The sequence below is a fragment of the Homo sapiens genome, chromosome 17 (assembly GCF_000001405.40).
Source record: "Homo sapiens chromosome 17, GRCh38.p14 Primary Assembly".
In the NCBI taxonomy this organism is placed as follows: domain Eukaryota; kingdom Metazoa; phylum Chordata; class Mammalia; order Primates; family Hominidae; genus Homo; species Homo sapiens.
The window spans coordinates 3,801,257-3,819,336 of NC_000017.11; the positions used below are offsets into that span (position 1 = coordinate 3,801,257).

Here is an 18,080-nt window from a genome sequence, read left to right on the forward strand (position 1 = left end):
CACACCAGCAAGGACCCACAGACCGGCACTTTCAACCAAACAGAGACACTCCGGCTCGTACACAACCAGCCGTGTGGCTTCCTCAGTTGTGGGCTGGACCCTAGGAGCTTAGGGGCCACTGTCAGCCCCACTCTACCACCCACACTTTGACCCACACTTTCATGGAATAGGGAGCTGAGGTTTGGCCAGGGCCACAGTTCTAGGTGTCCTCAGCAGATGCTGGAGGTGCAGGAGCAACGTGAATCCAGCCTGCCGTTCGTATCATCCATTTGAGTCGGTCCCCTGTCCTGCCTCAGAACCTACCACCAGACATCTCAGCCCAGCTTCCAGCCCAGGGTCCTCGGTGGTGGTTGCCTCAGCACTGAGACAGGCGTCCCCCTCCCATAGGAAGTGCCTCCCCAGCCAAAAACTGGGCTCTTGTACCAGCCCATGCACTCAAGGCCCTGGGGTTCTGGAGGGCCAGGTGAGTGGAAAGACCCAACGCACTGAGTGAAATCACTGCCTCGATTCAACTTCGGCTGCGTTCATTCTCTTTAAAACCAGGACAGCAACCTGACGTGGAAACTGACTGAACAGGACTCTGAGTTACCAGAATAACAGAAGTAAAATTCTATACATCTTCCAGCATACCTGTGATGCATCCCAGCATTCCACAGAACACGCCGTTGACAGCTGGCAGTCGTGTTTAAGTGCTGATCTGAGATCTGTACTGTGTGACCAAGTCTGTGACACAGAAGGAACTCTCCTGCACCCCTGCTCCCCAGGCTGCTGGAAGTGCAGAGTGGCGCCGTCAAACAGAACTCTGCGCGGGGATGGAACTGCTCTAGGTCGACGCTGTCCAGGATGGTACTCATGAGCCACATATGGTACTAAACCCTTAAAATGCCACTAGAACAACTGATGAACTGAATTTTGTATATTTTATTTAATTTTAATTAAACGTAAAAAGGCAGGACATTCCAAGGCTCTCTAACACGAGTGTCTGCAGCCCCATTCGCTTTGAGATGTGAATGTGTTAACCCAGGGTGGACAATGGTGTTGACTTCATTACTAGATAAAAATCCATGTTATTTTGTTTCTCGCATTGAAAGGCTGCTTGGCTAAGGTTCTGTGAAGATCCGATGACATTTCCAACACTTTGCCTTGTCTGCTTTGCTCTGACAAAGTGCTTATGACTACTAGATCTTGCTCGGTTATGTGAGATTACAATTCACCGGTTTCCATCCTGTATGAAACAGAAGTTAAACAGTTGTAAAAGCAAAATTCCAGGTCTGGTGGTTTTCCTGCCAGGTCATGATGAAACCATCCTACTTCTGTTGAACCTCGTCCCAGGCAGGATCGGGGCCTGCGGCCTACAGCCTGTCTTCCCAGCGCTCCAGGGCTCGTGACCCTCCTCCTCCCCTCACTTCATTCTGCGCTCCAAGGGCACTGGGGAGAGTCACAGTGGTCTCCTCTCCCCCGCATTGGCCTAAAGCAGGAAGAGAGCAGCCCAGTCACTGAGCAGATCCCTGCTAGGGCAGGGCTAGAACCCAGACTGCAGCTCACTCGAGATTCCTGAGAGAAGACTTTGTGTTTGGAGTGTGAACGTCAGGGTGCCTCGGGAAGCCAGGGAAAGCTGATGACTGGGTGCTGGACAGGGAGCAGGGCCACTTCTGTACCTCTGCACACTTCTAGAATGCGGACTCATCCTGCATCCATCCAGTATGTATTTATCCAAGCGTCAGTGCCTCTAGTCATGAGACACACAGGGGTCCGTAAAGCCCACCTGGCGGTAGCTGCTTTCCCCACAAACCCAAACTACATCCCCAAGGTCAGGGCCAGGCTCTGTTGAGTAATGCTCCCCATCACAGCACGCAGCACAAGGCTGGCTGTTTGACAAATACACACATAACCAAAAGACATGTGAATGTGGTTTCCCAACTCACTTTAAACAAATATTCCGGGACCAACTTCAAGGACGTTCTACAACAGAAACTGGACTGTACTCTTCACAAACATCAATGTCATGAAAGACAGAAAGGCTGAGGACCTGCTCCAAACGAAAGGAGGCTGCAGAGAGGACAACTAAAGGCAGCGCTTGATCCTGGATTGGATCCTGGACCAGAAAAACAACGGCTTTCAAAATCATTATTGGGACAGTTGGCAAATTTGAAACAGGAACTACAAATTAGCAACTCCTGGGCTGATCAGAGAATATTACACATTTCCTGAATTTGAGAACTGTACCATGGGCATGTGAGAGGCTGTCCCTGTTCTTGGGAAATGTTCACTAAAACATCTTACGGATAAACGAGCATGATGTATACAAATAATCCTCAAATGGTTCATGGTTCAGAGAGGATAGGAAGAAACAGGGGTGAGGGAGAAGAGGAGGGAACGAATGAAAGAGAAAATGTGGCAAAATGTTCTTTGTTGTACCCTTCAAACTGCTGTGATTTTGAAATTATTTCAAAATAAAGTTTTAAATATTTTAAAAAATTTTTTTCTTTCTCCCCTTGATACCAGGAAGAATAAAGTTTTTAAAAAATGGGCAGGTGGGCCAGGCGCGGTGGCTCACGCCTGTAATCCCAGCACTTTGGGAGGCCGAGGCGGGCGGATCACAAAGTCAGGAGATCGAGACCATCCTGGCTAACACGGTGAAACCCGGTCTCTACTAAAAATACAAAAAAAATTAGCCAGGCGTGGTGGCGGGTGCCTGTAGTCCCAGCTACTCAGGAGGGTGAGGCAGGAGAATGGCGTGAACCCAGGAGGCGGAGCTCGCAGTGGGCGGAGATCATGCCACTGCACTCCACTTGGGTGACAGAGCGAGACTCCGTCTCAGAAAAAGTGGCCAGGTGCACTTGTAGTCACAGTTACTTAAGAGGTTCAAGCTACTTGGGAAAGCTTGAGCCCAGGAGTTTGAGTCCAATCTAGACAACATAGTATGAACCTGTCTCTTTAAAAAAAAGTTGCAAAATGTTCATGGATGGAGGAGACGTGCTCGGCGTGAGGTGAAAGGGCTGCCTGTGGGTCGGGCGTGGTAGCTGACACCTGTAATCCCAGCACTTTGGGAAGCCGAGGTAGGCGGATCGCCTGAGTTCAGGAGTTTGAGACCAGCCTGGGCAACATGGTGAAACCCTGTCTTTACTAAAAACACAAAAAATTAGCCAGGCGTGGCAGCGTGTGCCTGTAGCCCCAGCTTCGGGAGGCTATGGTGGGAGAATTGCTTGAACCTGGGAGGCGGAGGGTGCAGTGAGCCGAGACTGCGCCATTGCACTCCAGCCTGGGCGACAAGAGCAAGACTTCATCTCCAAAAAAAACAGAAAGGGCTGCCTGCTGTCTTCAGAGTGAGTCAAAAGCACTGAGGCACAGCCTTCAGACACAGGAAATGGTTCTATTCTCCCACTTGCCTTCTGACTCTTAGGAAGCCAGAAAGAGTGACGGCATTGCTGAGACCAGAGCCCAGGGCTGCAGAGCAGTGGTACTCACGACCTTTGAACACTCGGTAGGAGTGCCCTGCTCAGTGCCAAGGCCTCACATGCGAGCCCTCATCTGAGCCTCTCAGCCACCTACAAGGTCAACCCGATTTCTCAGATAAGGATGCTGCCTCTGAGAGGCCACATAGCTAGTAAGGAGCAGAGCTGGGACTCCAAACAGGCCTGTTTCCTCCAGAATCAGGACTCTGAACCACCACAAACTCTCCTGCCTTCAGCTCTTTTGGTGTGTAGACTTTTTTTATTTTTGTTTTTGAGATGGAGTCTTGCTCTTTCATCCAGACTGGAGTGCAGTGGCACAATCTCAGCTTACTGCAACCTCTGCCTCCTGGGTTCAAGCGATTCTCCTGCCTCAGCCTCCCGAGTAGCTGGGACTACAGGTGCCCGCCACCACACCCGGCTAATTTTTGTATTTTTAGTAGAGACGGGGTTTCACCATGTTGGCCAGGCTGGTCTCGAACTCCTGACATCAGGTGATCCCCGCCTCGGCCTCCCAAAGTGCTGAGACTACAGGTGTGAGCCACGTGCCCAGCTAGGTGGTGTGTAAACTTTAAAAAAGCAGAGATTTCATCCCACAAATGCAGACTGGGATCTCCACATGACCAGGTGCTGTGGACTGAACTGTAAATGTCCTCCAAATTCATATGTTGAAGCCCTAACCCCCAATGTGGCTCTTCTTGGACATATGGCTTTTAGGAAGTAATTAAGGTTAGATGAGGTCATAATCCAGCAAGATTGGTGGCCTTACAAGAGCCATGTGCAGGCACCAAGAAAAGCCTACGTGAATAAGACAGCAAGAGGGTGCTCACCATGTTGGCATCCTCCGGCCTCAGATCTGTGGGGGACTGCGGGGGTGATGGGACAGGGAGAGAACAAGGAGTGGATTTTCTTGTCCTTTCTAAGGAAGGGGCTGGGAGGGCGAGGGCTGCACTGGGTGCTGGGACCAAGGGTCCAGGGGCTTGGATCTCTTGTTTACAAACCCCTACTTCTTTCCTGCTATCTAGCCCACACCCCTGATGCTCCCCGGAAAGGAGAGCAAGGATCCTTGAACACGCGTTAGCACTAGAAGGAAACTGGAGCTCACCCCAGTTGAGCCCTCCATTTGACAGACAGGGAAGCTGAGGCCCAGGGAGGTGAGGGGACTTGCTCAGTCTTTCCAATTGAGTATGTGGGGCAGAAGGAGTCCCCAGAGCCCCGGCCCCAGCCACCATCCTATTTGACTTTCCCCAACAGGCATTCTACCTCAGCTAAAGATGCTGCCTGCCTCTCACAGGCCCTGAGGAGAAGATGGCCACATCACAGGATCGAACACTACCACAAAACTCCTAGGAAGGGACAGGAAGGTGAGAATCCTTTCTTTTTTTTTTGAGACGGAGTCTCGCTCTGTCGCCCAGGCTGGAGCGCAGTGGCGCGATCTCACCTCACTGCAACCTCTGCCTCCCGGGTTCAAGTAATTCTCCTGTCTCAGCCTCCCAAGTAGCTGGGACTACAGGTACCCACCACCACGCCCAGCTAATTTTTGTATTTCTAGTAGAGACGGGGTTCCAACATGTTGGCCAGGCTGCTCTTGAACTCCTGACCTCAGGTGATCCACCCGCCTCGGCCTCCCAAAGTGCTGGGATTACAGGCGTGAGCCACCAAGCCCGGCCTGAGAATTCTCTTCTGTCAATGGTGTGGGCCTCTCGACCTCACTAACCTATATTGGCCCAGAGGTGATGGTGACAATTTGAGATAACACAAAGTCTCAACTATTTACGAACCTGGTCATCCAGAGAGGGCCCCGGAATTGCTCAAATGAACAGTAAGAATCCTGAGGCAGGGTACTGACCTTGGTAGGTGAAATACCGCCTATACTCTCAAGTTTTATGGATAGTGCAGCCAAATTCCACTCGGATGCCTCACAACTACTTAAAATTGGCTTTTTGAAGCAGCATTTCCCTAACTACTCCCAGGAACAAAGTTCTGTGAAATGTTCATAGAGCTTCATTGAAAAAAAAAAAAAAAAAAAAGCTACAATATTTTTCTTCTAAGATTTATTTTATAAACATGTAAGAAAAGTTGTAGATATTTATTGTGGGTCTGGTTATGCAAGAACAATCTTCCTGGACACAGTGTGCGATTCTCAGTATCAAAAGCATTCTCTTCTTTCAGTTCGTAAAAGAAAAACATGGTTTAACTTCTAATTTACTGCTTATTATAAGGTTTAAAAGCAATTACTGTACTTATGTATCGAACTTATTTGTGTAGCAACTAATTCATCTGTGAAGCCATGGTTTGCTGTGGCTTCACAGTAAATTTTGACTTAAGTCTAAAGCGTGTGTTAGCATCTCACCGTAACTTAATGCTTCGAGTGAGAAGTTTGAGGAATGCTGCTTTAGGCAAAAGAGCCACTGGAGGAATGAGCTCTGCTCTTTTCACCTGCTCTGGACTGCTCTCACTTTCCTCACCGACAGGACCACAGGCTTAAGAACTGGCTCAGCAGTCCTTCTTTAGGGTCTAGCGCCTGCCTACCAGCTTCCTCTACTTCTATCCCGGGACAGATGAATGCTTTTCTAAAAAATATTTTGGACCATCTGCATGATTCCCTAGCAAATGCTTTAGAGAGCTGGTAAGCTTCAGCTCCGACATGGCCAGATCATCAAAATTTGAAGTTTACTCAGGTCTATTTAATGAGATTTTTTTTTCTTATACAACCATATGCACTTCTGAATAATCTTCCCTTTTTCGAATCTGGGGCTTTCATCTGGAATTAGACTAACCTGCAGACAGTGATGCCAGAACTGGGCTGGGTTACCATAATTCATTCATTTACCAAACACTTTCGAAGCACTACTTACTCTGGGCTGGCCTGATGAAAGGATACAGAGATAACACCACAAAGAAACTTGCTCATTAGGAGCTTGCTTACTGGCTAGAAAGGAAAATACAACATGAAAATAAAGCATTGTACGTACATGGCAGAAAAATGACTAGCCTGCCAGAGGGCCCCAGAGCCTCAGAGGATGGAGCCACTCCTGAGGCTGGAGGGTTTACAAACTCATCCCATCTTTACAGAAGACCTGCTAGATGCCAGGCATGCTGGCAGGCACAGGGGAAAGCCCACTCAACAAGCAGACACGGTCCCTGCTCTCACGGAGCTTACAGTCTAGCAAGACAAACTAGGAACAAGAAATTACAGTCCAGTGTAGAGGTGTGCAGGGTTGTGGGGTACAGTGATTTGGCATTATACACACATTTCGCTTAAACACAATGGTATTTGTCTGAAAAAGATTTAAAAAAAGAAAAACAAATCAGTTGTTTGGGCCATTCCGCTGGCCCCTCCTTCACTCCATGAGCATAGACAAGAGGGCGGGCCCGGGCAAGCTCATGCCTCTGCTGCACCTGCGGCCTGCCTCAGTTCCCAAGCTCCCCAAAAGTGATCTTCTCGCCTAAATGTGGTTCTAACACCCCAAAACAAGTGATTTTTGCACAACACAGCCCTAACTGCAGGCCAATCACTTCACCTGGTACTCAACCAAACAGTAATGTGTTCCCACATGGGCAAGAAATGACTACATGGGACCTCAAGATGTTGGTCTTCAATAGGGCACCTTCCTTAGATTTCTAAGAGGAATTTTAATTACACTCCATTTTTATCTTAGGCACTGACCTTAGAACTGAATCCTGGAGAGAGCTGAGACTCTTCTGTGGCAGTACCATGGGACACATAGAAGTAGCCTATACCCTGGCTCTGGAAGTTGGGGACTGCCTCCTAGAAGGGCCCCTAAGACCTTAAGTTGGTGAGGGGAAGATTGAGGCGGGAGGGGGAGAAGCCTGGGCGGAAGCATGTCACTGGAGGTAGAAACAGCTCTGTGCACAGTCTGTAGGGCTAGTGAGATCAAGATACATTTAGGGAACTGGTGAGCAGAGGGCAGGGGAGATGGGGAGAACAGGCCAGGGATACTGCCAGAGGATAGACCTTGGTGAGCCTCATAACATGCTATCAAAAAGGGTGGAATTTATGTATGTATGTATTTTTTGAGACAGGTCTTGCTCTGCTGCCCAGGCTGGAGTGCAGTGGCTTGATCATAGCTCACCACAGCCTTGAATTACTGGGCTCATGCGATCAGGAGTGTGGAATTTATTCTCGGGGCAATAGTGAAGCTTTGGAAAACGTTCAAGCAGAGGAATAACAGAATCAGATATATATTTAAGAAAGTTCATCCTGAAGCATGTGAAAAGGTGCCCGACATCATTAGTCATTAGGGAAATACAAATCAAAACCACAATGAGAGCCAGGCGTGGTGGCTCATGCCTGTAATCTCGGCACTTTGGGAGGTCAAGGCAGGAGGATCACTTGAGGCCAGGAGTGCTAGACGGCCTGGGCAACATAACGAAACCCCATCTGTACAAAATGTATTTTAAAAAGAAAAAATAAAAACAAAAAACTACAATGAGATACCACTTCACACCAGAAAATAATGAGTGTTGGTGGAGATGTGGAGAAACTGGAACCCTCGCACACTGCTGGTGGAATGGAAAATGATACAGCTGCTTGGAAAAACCACCTGGTGGTTCCTGAAAAGGTTAAAGATAATTATGACTCAGCAATTCCACTCCTAGGTATATACCCAAGAGTCATGAAAATACCTGTCCCTGCAAAAACTTGTTCGGGAATGTTCGTAGCAACACTATTCATAATAGCCAAAAAGTAGGGCCAGGTGCAGTGGCTCACACCTGTAATCCCAGAACTTTGGGAGGAAGAGGTGGGCAGATCACCTGAGGTCAGGAGTTCGAGACCAGCCTGACCAACATGGTGAAACCCTGTCTCTACTAAAAATACAAAAAATTAGCCAGCGTGGTGGCACATGCCTGTAATCCCAGCTACTCTGGAGGCTGAGGCAGGAGAATCGCTTGAACCCCGGAGGTGGAGGTTGCAGTGGGCCGAGATCGTGCCATTGCACTCCAGCCTGCACAACAAGAGCGAAACTGTGTCTCAAAAATAAATAATAGAAATAGAAATATATATATATAGCCCTAAAGTAGAAACAACTCAAATGCCCATTAACCAATGTGGATTAAAAAAAAGGTGGCATACCCATAAAATGGACTATTATTTGGCAATTTTAAAAAATGAAATACTGATAGAAGCTATGACATGGATGAACCTCAGAAATATGTTAAGAAGCCAGTCACAAATAGACACATAGTATATGATCCCATTTATATGAACTATCCAGAACAGGCAAATCCACAGAGAGAGAAGGAAGATCAGTGGTGGCCAGAGGCTAAGAGGGAAGAGGGAATAGGGAGAATTGCTAATGGACTCAGGGTTTCTTTGGGTGATCAAAGTGTTTTAAAATTGATTACGGTGCTGGTGCATAACTGTAAATATACTAAAAGCCACTCAAGTGTACACTTTAAATGGCTGAACTGTATGCAAATTACATCTAAATTAAGCTGGTAACAACAACAAAGGTTCATCCCGCTGCAGTGTGCAGAATGGAGACAGGGCAGAGACCAGTGAAGAGGCTGCTGTACAAATGCAGCTGGAAAGGGCAGTGGCTGAAGAACGGAGAGGGGTTCACAGGATCAGACTACAAGGGGGCCAGAGGAGGAGACTACATCCTGAGGACGCCACAAATTATCCTGGGTACCTGGTAACTCTCCAGAGAGGAGAGTGGGAAACAAATGAGGTATCTGCAATTATCATCAAGCAGCAAACATGTATGTAAAATCTCCTACACATAAGACTAAGAGGAACACACAAAGTGTGCAGCCCTGTGCCCACATGTGTGGGGAGTGTCCAGGGTAAAATCACGCCCAGCTGCCTGCCACGGGCCTGTCCTGACTATCCATTCTTACTCTTAAACTCCAAAGAAAAGGCCTCATCATTCAGGACACACTCAAGATGTTGCAAGATCTGAGTGACTGAGAGTGGGCAGGAGGGTTAGAGAAACTAATAAGGCCAGTAACTCCGAGAAGTAAAAATCTTTAAAGCTGCCTTTCTGGGTTCTCTCTGTGTGTCTGTGAAAACTGTAAGGTTACTCGAGTGTGTATTTCTCTTGGTTACATCAAAGACCCAGTTTTGACTGCACACCACCTCCTTCCAGAATGGCTTCGCTGATCTGTAGCAGGAGACTGCTGAGTGCTGAAAGGCCGTGGAACAAATGGACCTGAGCTGCTGGTGTAAAACCAAAAGGAAAGTCTGTGAAGGAGCATATTCTAAACCCTGCAGAGGCATGCCAGCTGGGACGCTGACCACAAGACATCTTTGCCCCGTCAGTAGAAGCAGAGACTGTGCTGGGATGGGAATAAGCCCCTGTCTACACCTCATGCGCGCCCTCAGTTGTCTCCCTGGCGCCTCCTCCACCTGCAGTAGAAATTCATGCTGGCGAGCCCACTGCCGTCACAGCTTGGGAAGAGTAAACCGCCACTGAGATGCACCAACAAAGCCAGGAATTCTGGTAACAGCCCACTCAACTGCTAGACGGGAAAACTGAGGCCCAGGTCCATGGAGCAGAGCCAGGGGTTGGCATCCAGGTGTCCGATTCTCAGGCCCCCGCACTCCTCACTCTACCAACTCCCCAAACCCTGACCCTTCCTAAGAACCTGGCTCTCAGCTGTATGCTTCACAGGGAAAGAAAAGCTGAGAAATCTCAGATGTCTTAAGTCTCAACTGGCAGAGAAACCAGAACCATCTCTTTCCTAGAATCCTAATAAGAAGCTGAAATATATCATGGTTATATCCTCTAATCTCTCTAAAGGGAGGGAGAAAAAGCAAGGTTAATCAACAAAATATGGGACAATACAGTTTTTGTTGCAGCTCTCAAATCTTGCAGCCCTTTACTTCCTTTATTAATAACAGTGTTCTGCATTAATTCGTGCCACAGTGTAATCAACTATCAATGTGACCATTAGCTCCGCCACAAGTAAAGATCGACAGGATCCAGGCTGCACTGTGTGCACAACAGCCCAGGCAGGTGAAGAGTCGTGACATCGCAAAAAGGACCACGGTTTATTACCATCTCTAACGCCCATGTTCCAGCAAACCGAAGAAAAACACTGTTTCTTAAAACTGCAGAGGAATACAAAATTAAATACTACAAAACAAAAATCAGACAGGAAGACGAAACAATCTACCTCCTCCTAATGGTAAAATAATCTGAAAGGAGTTTAAAAATAAATGAACTAAAATTTTTATAACTATTATCTTTTCTGCCAATTTTGAAGATGTCTTCAGGTGCCACAACGTGGGGACAGAAAGAATAAATATCAATGTATAACTTCTAGAGTGATAATAAACAACAGGACCCCATCTCAGATGGATGGATTTTTTTTCCTACTGGAGCCAAAAAACAAGCTGAACTCTATGTACAACAGACAGACTATACAACTAGGAGCATTTAAAAATAATAAGACTCCTCTCTCTGCCTTCTTCCAAAGAATAGAATATATATTTAACAGCACAAAAGACGACACCACTTGAGCTTCCCCTTTAGCCAACAGGAAGAATTTCCACATATAAAAATTAAAAATTTAAACTTTCAAATCATTCATGTTTTAAACATAATACAGACTTAAAAATTCTTCAACATTGACCCATAATCCCACCCCAGCACAAAAATCAACCCCAAATCCAGACGTCACAGTTTTTTGTTCCTAAAAATCCCACAGCACTGAACTTGATCTTCACATCAAGCTGACAGCACGTAAGAGGCCCATGCCATGAGCAATCCCCGAGGGAAGAACGGAAGCACAGTCAATGCTGCAGCTCTTATCTACCTGGGCGGCACTGGTGCACCTCTGAGGTCAGGTCCGTGAGATTCGCCCCACACTAGGGTCCCGGAAGGGTGAGCTGGCCGCTTCCCTCCTCTTCCCCCTCGAAGGATGTCCAATAAGCACCTGGGAATTGACTTTTCTTGGGAAAAGGGTGCTGGTAACAGCTGTCAGGGCCAAGGCAATAGTGAGAAGTTCAGTTCTCTGCTCTTTGGATGAACTGTGTAAAACATTTCTTTTAAAAGACACAATGTTAAAAATATTAAGAAAAATGTCTACAAAATCTGGAGGGCTGCCTTTTTCTCAAAGGGTAAAGCCTGTGGGGTGGTGGGAAAGGAATCGAGGGCCCAGAACTACAACTCTGCAGCGAAAGATAGAGATGCCCTTGAAAATGTGTCACATTCTTAAGATGTCTTGCCGAAGTAGCAAGAGCGGAGGGTGACTGTGTGAGCAGGAGCGAGAGGGCGCCAGCTCCTGCGGGGGAGGTTCCTACTGCGCGCCCCACCCTGTGCAAGAATGTCAGGCTTTAGGGCAGCTGCCATAGGCCCCAGGGGCATCAGGACTCTGCCTCTGAACCAGAGCTGCTTTCCCGACTAACTTCAATCTGGAGAGATGGTAAGTTATCTAACCGGCTCTTCTTTTGGCGAGACTGCTCTTTCTCCTTAATCAGAGCCCCCCATGCCCTTTGCAGCTCAGAGTCGTCTTCCTCAGCGCCAGGCGCCCTGTGATCCACTTTCTTCGTATTCTTTTCTTTGGTCTTGGGTGCAGATCCTAGGCGAGTCCATAAATTACCTGTTTGGATGAGATGGCATTTCACTTTCGCAGTCAGCGCTAAGAACCAGGGTAGCACTGAGGGGGCAGCAGCACTGCCAACACCTGCTGTGCAGGAAACGCCAGCAGTCTGTGGAGCCTGCCACCACAGTGCAGCCTTGGGCAGGCAAAATCTCATTTCCCGGGCCGCAGCCCCTGCCCGCAAACGGAAGGGTCTGGACCCAGCACGGGATTCTCACCGTGGGGGGACAGGTCAGGTCCCTCCCTGTCACCAGACACATCAGAATCACCTGAGAGGCCGTTTCCTCCTACTCCTGCCCTTCCCTGCTGAGACACCACCCTGTGTGCCAATCCATTCTGCCAGAAGTAGGCCACTCCCAGATCCCTTCCATTAATTTTTGAAATATATTTTATGAAAATTTAACAATAGAGAAATACGTGTTTAGAATTTTGTAGACGGCCACATTATAAGGCAATTCAAAGTTGTTTTTGTTTTTGTTTTTGAGACAAGGTCTTGCTGTTGCCCAGGCTGAAGTGCAGTGGTGCAGGCGCCCACCACCACGCCCGGCTCATTTTTGTGTTTTTAGTAGAGACAGGGTTTCACCATGTTGGTTAGGCTGGTCTCGAACTCCTGACCTCAAGTGATCCCCCCGTCTCGGCCTCCCAAATTGCTGGGATTACAGGTGTTGAGCCGCTATGCCTGGCCTAAAAGTTTTATTTATAAAGATTATAAAATGTGGCAAACAACTACGATAAAATGCTGTATGAAAAAACTAGGATTTGTATGTGGGCAAAGACCAGAATAGCTCACATGAAACTAAAAAGATTTGTGCCAAACAGAAAGAGCCAGGAGTGTGCTATTTTTTTCTATTTTCTAAGCGTTCCTAACTGTTGGGATGATGCTGATGCTGATGCTGACGATAACTATAATGGAAAAGGAATAATCACTTATATTTGGCGTGGGCTGTTTCTTGCCTTCTGCTAAGAAAGTATTTCTCCAATACACCCACTGTCCTCTGCTCTCACTGAATCCCCATTCCCATCCGTTTTAAGTGTTACCAACCTGATTTCTTCTCCCGAGTATCGGCGTAGAGGCCTTTACTATCCTGCCTGGGAACACCTAGCCTACTATGCACATCAGAAGAGGGCTCTCTCCGAACGACGGGGTTACTACTAAAAGCCTTTTCCGGAGAATGTGGTCTTTTTCCTAACCGCTGGCGTATATCTGAAAAAAGAGAAAAAGTGCACCAGTGACCGTGTGTGTGCTTTATGCTCGGCACCAGCCGCCTGACACCTCTAACGGATCTGGCGCTAACCCCTGCCCCGAGGACACAGGGCCTGACAATCAGGCTGCTAAGTATTCTTCCTTTGTAATCAGTCTGGATTTCCTTAGGAAAATTCGGACATAGGGGCTGTCAGAGGAAAAATCCTCAACTGATTACTCCAGAACTATATTTCTGAAGAAACAACCTTTTTTTTTTTTTCTTTAAGCAGAATCAAGAAGACTAAGTAATTTACAAAAGTTTCAGCGAACAAAAAATCCTGTGAGCTCCTGGAAAGTGGAAGGCACAATCTTTGAACATACAAGTAGTTCCCAATAAACTTATTACATTTAACCAGTAAATATAAAGAGACTGGAAAAGGCAAAGGATCAAATGTGTTTTTCCCTCAATCCCCCCAGAAATCGGCCTGTCCTCTTGAGTTCCCCCTAACCACCACAGCAACAACAGAAACACATTCGTTGGTGAGGCCCTGTGCCGAGGTCTCCTCTCACTTTAGCTTCTCTCAGAGAGCAGCACCCTGGTCTCTGGTCACTGAGACCTGAGCTCCTTTCCTCCAACACTTCCTAGCACTGAGTCTTCCTTCACAAGACTATCCTGTTCTTTATCCATTCTGTCTCCACCGACCTAGTTCAGGCTCTTGTTACTTTTTTAACTCTCTACCCCACCCCACTCCACCCTCAAGTTGTCTTTCTAAAATAGATGTAAGATCAGGTTACTTCTCATGTAAAAAAATCAGGTTTGCCAACAGAGATCCTACCCTCTCCAAGGCCTGGCTCTAATGCTACTTTCTCTAAGAAGTCTTTCACAACTTCCCGAGTAGATCTATGACGGCTCTGCGTCCCCTCCAAAGGCTTCTCACATTCCTAGCACCTAGACCAGGGTCTGGCACATAGCAGGTACGGCTAAAGACCTGCTGAATCAGTGTTTGAACATAGAAATTATCTAGTTCAAACTCTTAACTGTTCAGACAACCACCGAACTTAATTTCTATTATTCTTGTATATAAAGTATACCAGTGTCATACAGAGGAAAATATGGTTGGCCCTCCTCATCCATGGATTCCACATCTATAGATTCAACCAACTGCTGATCGAATACATGTGGAAAAAAAGTAAGACATAAGAGTACAGCAAAAAATAATACAAATTTTACACAACACAGGATAAGAATTTATACCGTATTAGGTATTGTAAATAATCTAGAGATGACTTAAAGTATATGAGAGGATGTGTGTAGGTTATATGCAGATAATATGTCACTTTATATAAGGGACTTAAGCATCAATGGATTTTGGTATCTGTAGGGGGCGGGGAGGGGGTCCTGGAAGCAAGCCCCCAGACATACCAAGGAACAACTGTAATTATTTGGAATAAAAACATTTAAAGCTAGTTTTTCAGAAGTCTGATTATTTTTCATTTCCTCAATTTCCAACACCTAGCCCACAATTTAGACATGATGAACCAGGACAGCTAAATCAGTTCACACATCGCATGTTTTACTCAGGAACCTCTCTCTGCCCCAGTCTGCTTTCCGGAGCTCAGAATCCAGCCAGGAATCCAAGTGAGGAACAGTACCTGATTTAGTACTGCTGACTGGTGGCCGTGGACGGGAGTGCTGACGTTTCTCATCTAATAGATGTCGGACATCTGCAAATTTCTCAGGTGGTAATTTGTTACCAATTCGGTTTTTGATATTGCTTGAAGATACACTATCTGCCCTCATGGAGTTCCTTTAAAAAGGGGGTAGGATGGGGCACAGTTAACCAACTTCAACTGTGAGACAAGACCCAAACAACAATCTCATACTTTGGAGGAAACAATTTAAGAAATCCTGTCTTACATGGCCAACATTCACTTACAAATCCATAAACTTATAATTATTTGCTTATGGAAACCATGATCTGCCTGCTCTAAAGAGACTGGTTCTGGTGAGCAGGTTTTCGAAGGTGGTTTCCACATGTGTATGTGCTATTACACAGCATACAACTACAAGTCCCCCTTTTCTGGGACAAACGTTAAGTAGAGGCCTACAAAGAGATTGGGGCTTCCACTTACACATGCTGTGATGTGGCTGTAGTCAACACACAGTATAGTCTACAGTCTCTCTCTTTAAAGGGCAGACTTCTCTTTCAAAGAGATATGCTATCATGCTAGGTGCCAGCACCGTTCCGGCAGCATTCTCTACCAGAAAGCTCTCTGAAAACCAAAAATAAGAATGTGAACAGGCTCATGCCTGTAATCCCAGCACTTTGGGAAGCTGAGGCGGGCGGATCACGAGGTCAGGAGATCGAGACCATCCTGGCTAACATGGTGAAACCCAGTCTCTACTAAAAATACAAAAAATTAGCTGGGCGTGGTGGCCTGTACTCCCAGCTCCCCGGGAGGCTGAGGCAGGAAAATGCTGTGAACCCAGAAGGCGGAGCTTGCAGTGAGCCGAGATCGTGTTATCGCTCCACTGCACTCCAGGCTGGGCGACAGAGCGAGACTCCGTCTCAAAAAAAAAAAGAACGTGGTGAACAAGGCCATACAAACAAATCAGCTTGAATGGTCTTTTCCCCTCCCCACAAACATACTACGTTACACAGAGCATCCCTAGACTCTAACCCTTAGAACTGTGGATTCTGCCTGCACAGAATCTGCTCACCCCTAGTAGTAATCAAAGACATGCACATTAAAATAACTATTTTTTTTTTGTTCATGAAACTAGCTAGCATTAGAAAGAATGGTAATAGCTAAGGCTGGTGAGCTTGTAGGTAACAGGTGGTAATGTGAGTGATTAAAACCCTTCTGGGATTAAAACCCTTCTGAGCCCGGGCATGGTGGCTCATGCCTGTAATCCCAGCACTTTGGGAGGCTGAGGCAGGTGGATCACGAGGTCAGGAGATTGAGACCATCCTGGCCAACATGCTGAAACCCGTCTCTACTAAAATTACAAAAAATTAGCCAGGAGTAGTGGCAGGCGCCTGTAGTCCCAGCTACTCGGGAGGCTGAGGCAGGAGAATGGCGTGAACCTGGGAGGCGGAGTTTGCAGTGAGCCGAGATCGCGCCACTGCACTCCAGCCTGGGTGACAGAGCGAGACTCCGTCTCAAAAAAAAAATAAAAACACACAAAAAACCCTTCTGGAAAAAAATAAAGCAATACTTACCATCTTTTTAAACACATATTGTTTTGTGTAATAACTGGACTTTGAGGAATTTATTGAGTTAGTGCAATTGTAAGAAAATAGAAACCTAAAGTCCATCAAAAAGGAATTCGTTAAATAAATCATGATACTTTCAAACAACAGACTATATACAGTTGAAAAAAATAATGTCTACAATATATTAAGTGAAAAATGCACAATGCAAAACTATAAATAGCATAACCTCATCTTTATAAAAAGTATACTTTTATACAAATATATCTACAGCTTTTCCCTGTGCCATACACACACACACACACACACACACAAATAGCTGAAAGGTTATTCGCCAAATTGCTAACAGTAGTTATTGTTGAGAAAGAATGGGAATACAGATGATTTTCACTTTCTATGTTGTCTTTTGTTTTTATAACAAGAATCACTGCTTGTATAGAGGAAATACTGGATGCGTTTATTAAACTCCTACAAGGGACTGAAATCAGAATAGATAAAAGATATTATAAAATTAGGAGGAATTAAGAAGTTATACTAGTATTTAAAATCAAATTAAAAGCTAGCTTTGATAAAACAAATTTTTACCTAATATTTTTCAACTGAGATTCCACTTCGTCAGCATACATAGTCATTTTCATGCTTTTCTTTGGTGAAGGCGTGGAAATCATTTTCAGTTCTAGATCATAGTCCATTTCATCTGAGTCTGAGCTGCTGGCACTGGATCGTCTAGACGCGCTCCGCTCCCGGGGCTGCTTGAGAGCCGGGAGCTCCTCGTGGTACTCTACCACCACTCTGTCATCTGCATCCATGTCCTGGTCTTCTTCTTCCTCTTCCTCTTCCTCCTCCTCCTCCTCTTCCTCCTCTTCAATGGGTTCCTCGGGAACATTCACTAGCCCTGAAGAAATTTAACCAGAAAACATTAGGAAAAGCACTAAAATTAACAAGTATGATTTTCTACTCTACATCGGTGACCTTTTTAAAAGGTGGGGTTCCCATCCCTGACATTTTATTGGAGCACTATCTATAATAGTGCCAAATGGACATTACTCTGATACTGCAACAGGAGGATGGCTAGGTAAAGTATGATGCAGCAGCCTAACCAAATACCATAAAGTCATTTAAAATACAACTGACCTTTATTATTCACAGATTTTGTATTTGCAAATTTACCAAATTTATTTGTAACTCCAAAATGAATACGTGCAATGCTTCCATGGTCATTTGCTGGCACGCACAGAGTGGCAAAAAAATCTGAGTCACCAGGCACACACACTCCCAGTGGAGGTCAAACAAAGCAACACTCCACCTTCCTGTTTCATCTCATGCTGTAAACAAGCGTCTGTTTCAGTCCACCGAGTGGCACATTTTTCACACTTCTGTGCCTGCTGCTAGTGATTTCACTGCTTAAAATGGCCCTGAGTGTCGTGCCGAAGTGCTGCCTAGTGTTCCTAGATGCAAGGGGGCTGTGATGTGCCTTGTGGAAAAATACCATATCAGGTAAGGCATTCAGGCATGAGTTATAGGGCTACTGGCTGTGAACTCAATGTTAACGAATCAACAATGTGTCTTAAATAAGGTGTCTTAAAGAGAAACATATGGGCCCAGCGCGGTGGCTCACGCCTGTAATCCCAGCACTTTGGGAGGCCGAGGTGGGCAGAT

General features: G+C 46.2%; 1 protein-coding gene across 3 annotated transcripts in view, besides 1 other annotated feature; it reads right to left on the reverse strand.

Annotated features, from left to right (window-relative positions):
- Nucleotides 1-901: 901 nt before the first annotated feature.
- The window catches only part of NCBP3 (nuclear cap binding subunit 3), a 44,089-nt gene continuing 26,910 nt past the window's right edge, over nucleotides 902-18,080 (reverse strand). Inside the window, exons 10-15 of one of the 3 annotated variants that reach the window (XR_007065313.1) lie at nucleotides 17,007-17,316; nucleotides 14,860-15,014; nucleotides 13,066-13,227; nucleotides 11,861-12,023; nucleotides 11,238-11,398; nucleotides 902-1,225 (exon numbers count right to left, since the gene is read on the reverse strand). Coding sequence is in view for 2 of the 3 variants with exons in the window: in NM_001398494.1 (NP_001385423.1) it covers nucleotides 11,290-11,398; nucleotides 11,861-12,023; nucleotides 13,066-13,227; nucleotides 14,860-15,014; nucleotides 17,007-17,316 (899 nt within the window). In the remaining variant the exon portion in view is untranslated. Of the gene's footprint in view, nucleotides 12,024-13,065; nucleotides 13,228-14,859; nucleotides 15,015-17,006; nucleotides 17,317-18,080 lie in introns of all 3 variants that reach the window. The other 2 variants (NM_001398494.1, NM_001114118.3) reach the window with 2 other exon arrangements.
- Nucleotides 11,634-12,139: an enhancer, noted in NCBI's record as "H3K27ac-H3K4me1 hESC enhancer chr17:3716184-3716689 (GRCh37/hg19 assembly coordinates)". NCBI's record gives its function as "activates a minimal SCP1, AML or CMV promoter by ChIP-STARR-seq in primed H9 embryonic stem cells {active_cell/tissue: H9 hESC(primed)}" and the evidence as "EXISTENCE:reporter gene assay evidence [ECO:0000049][PMID:30033119]".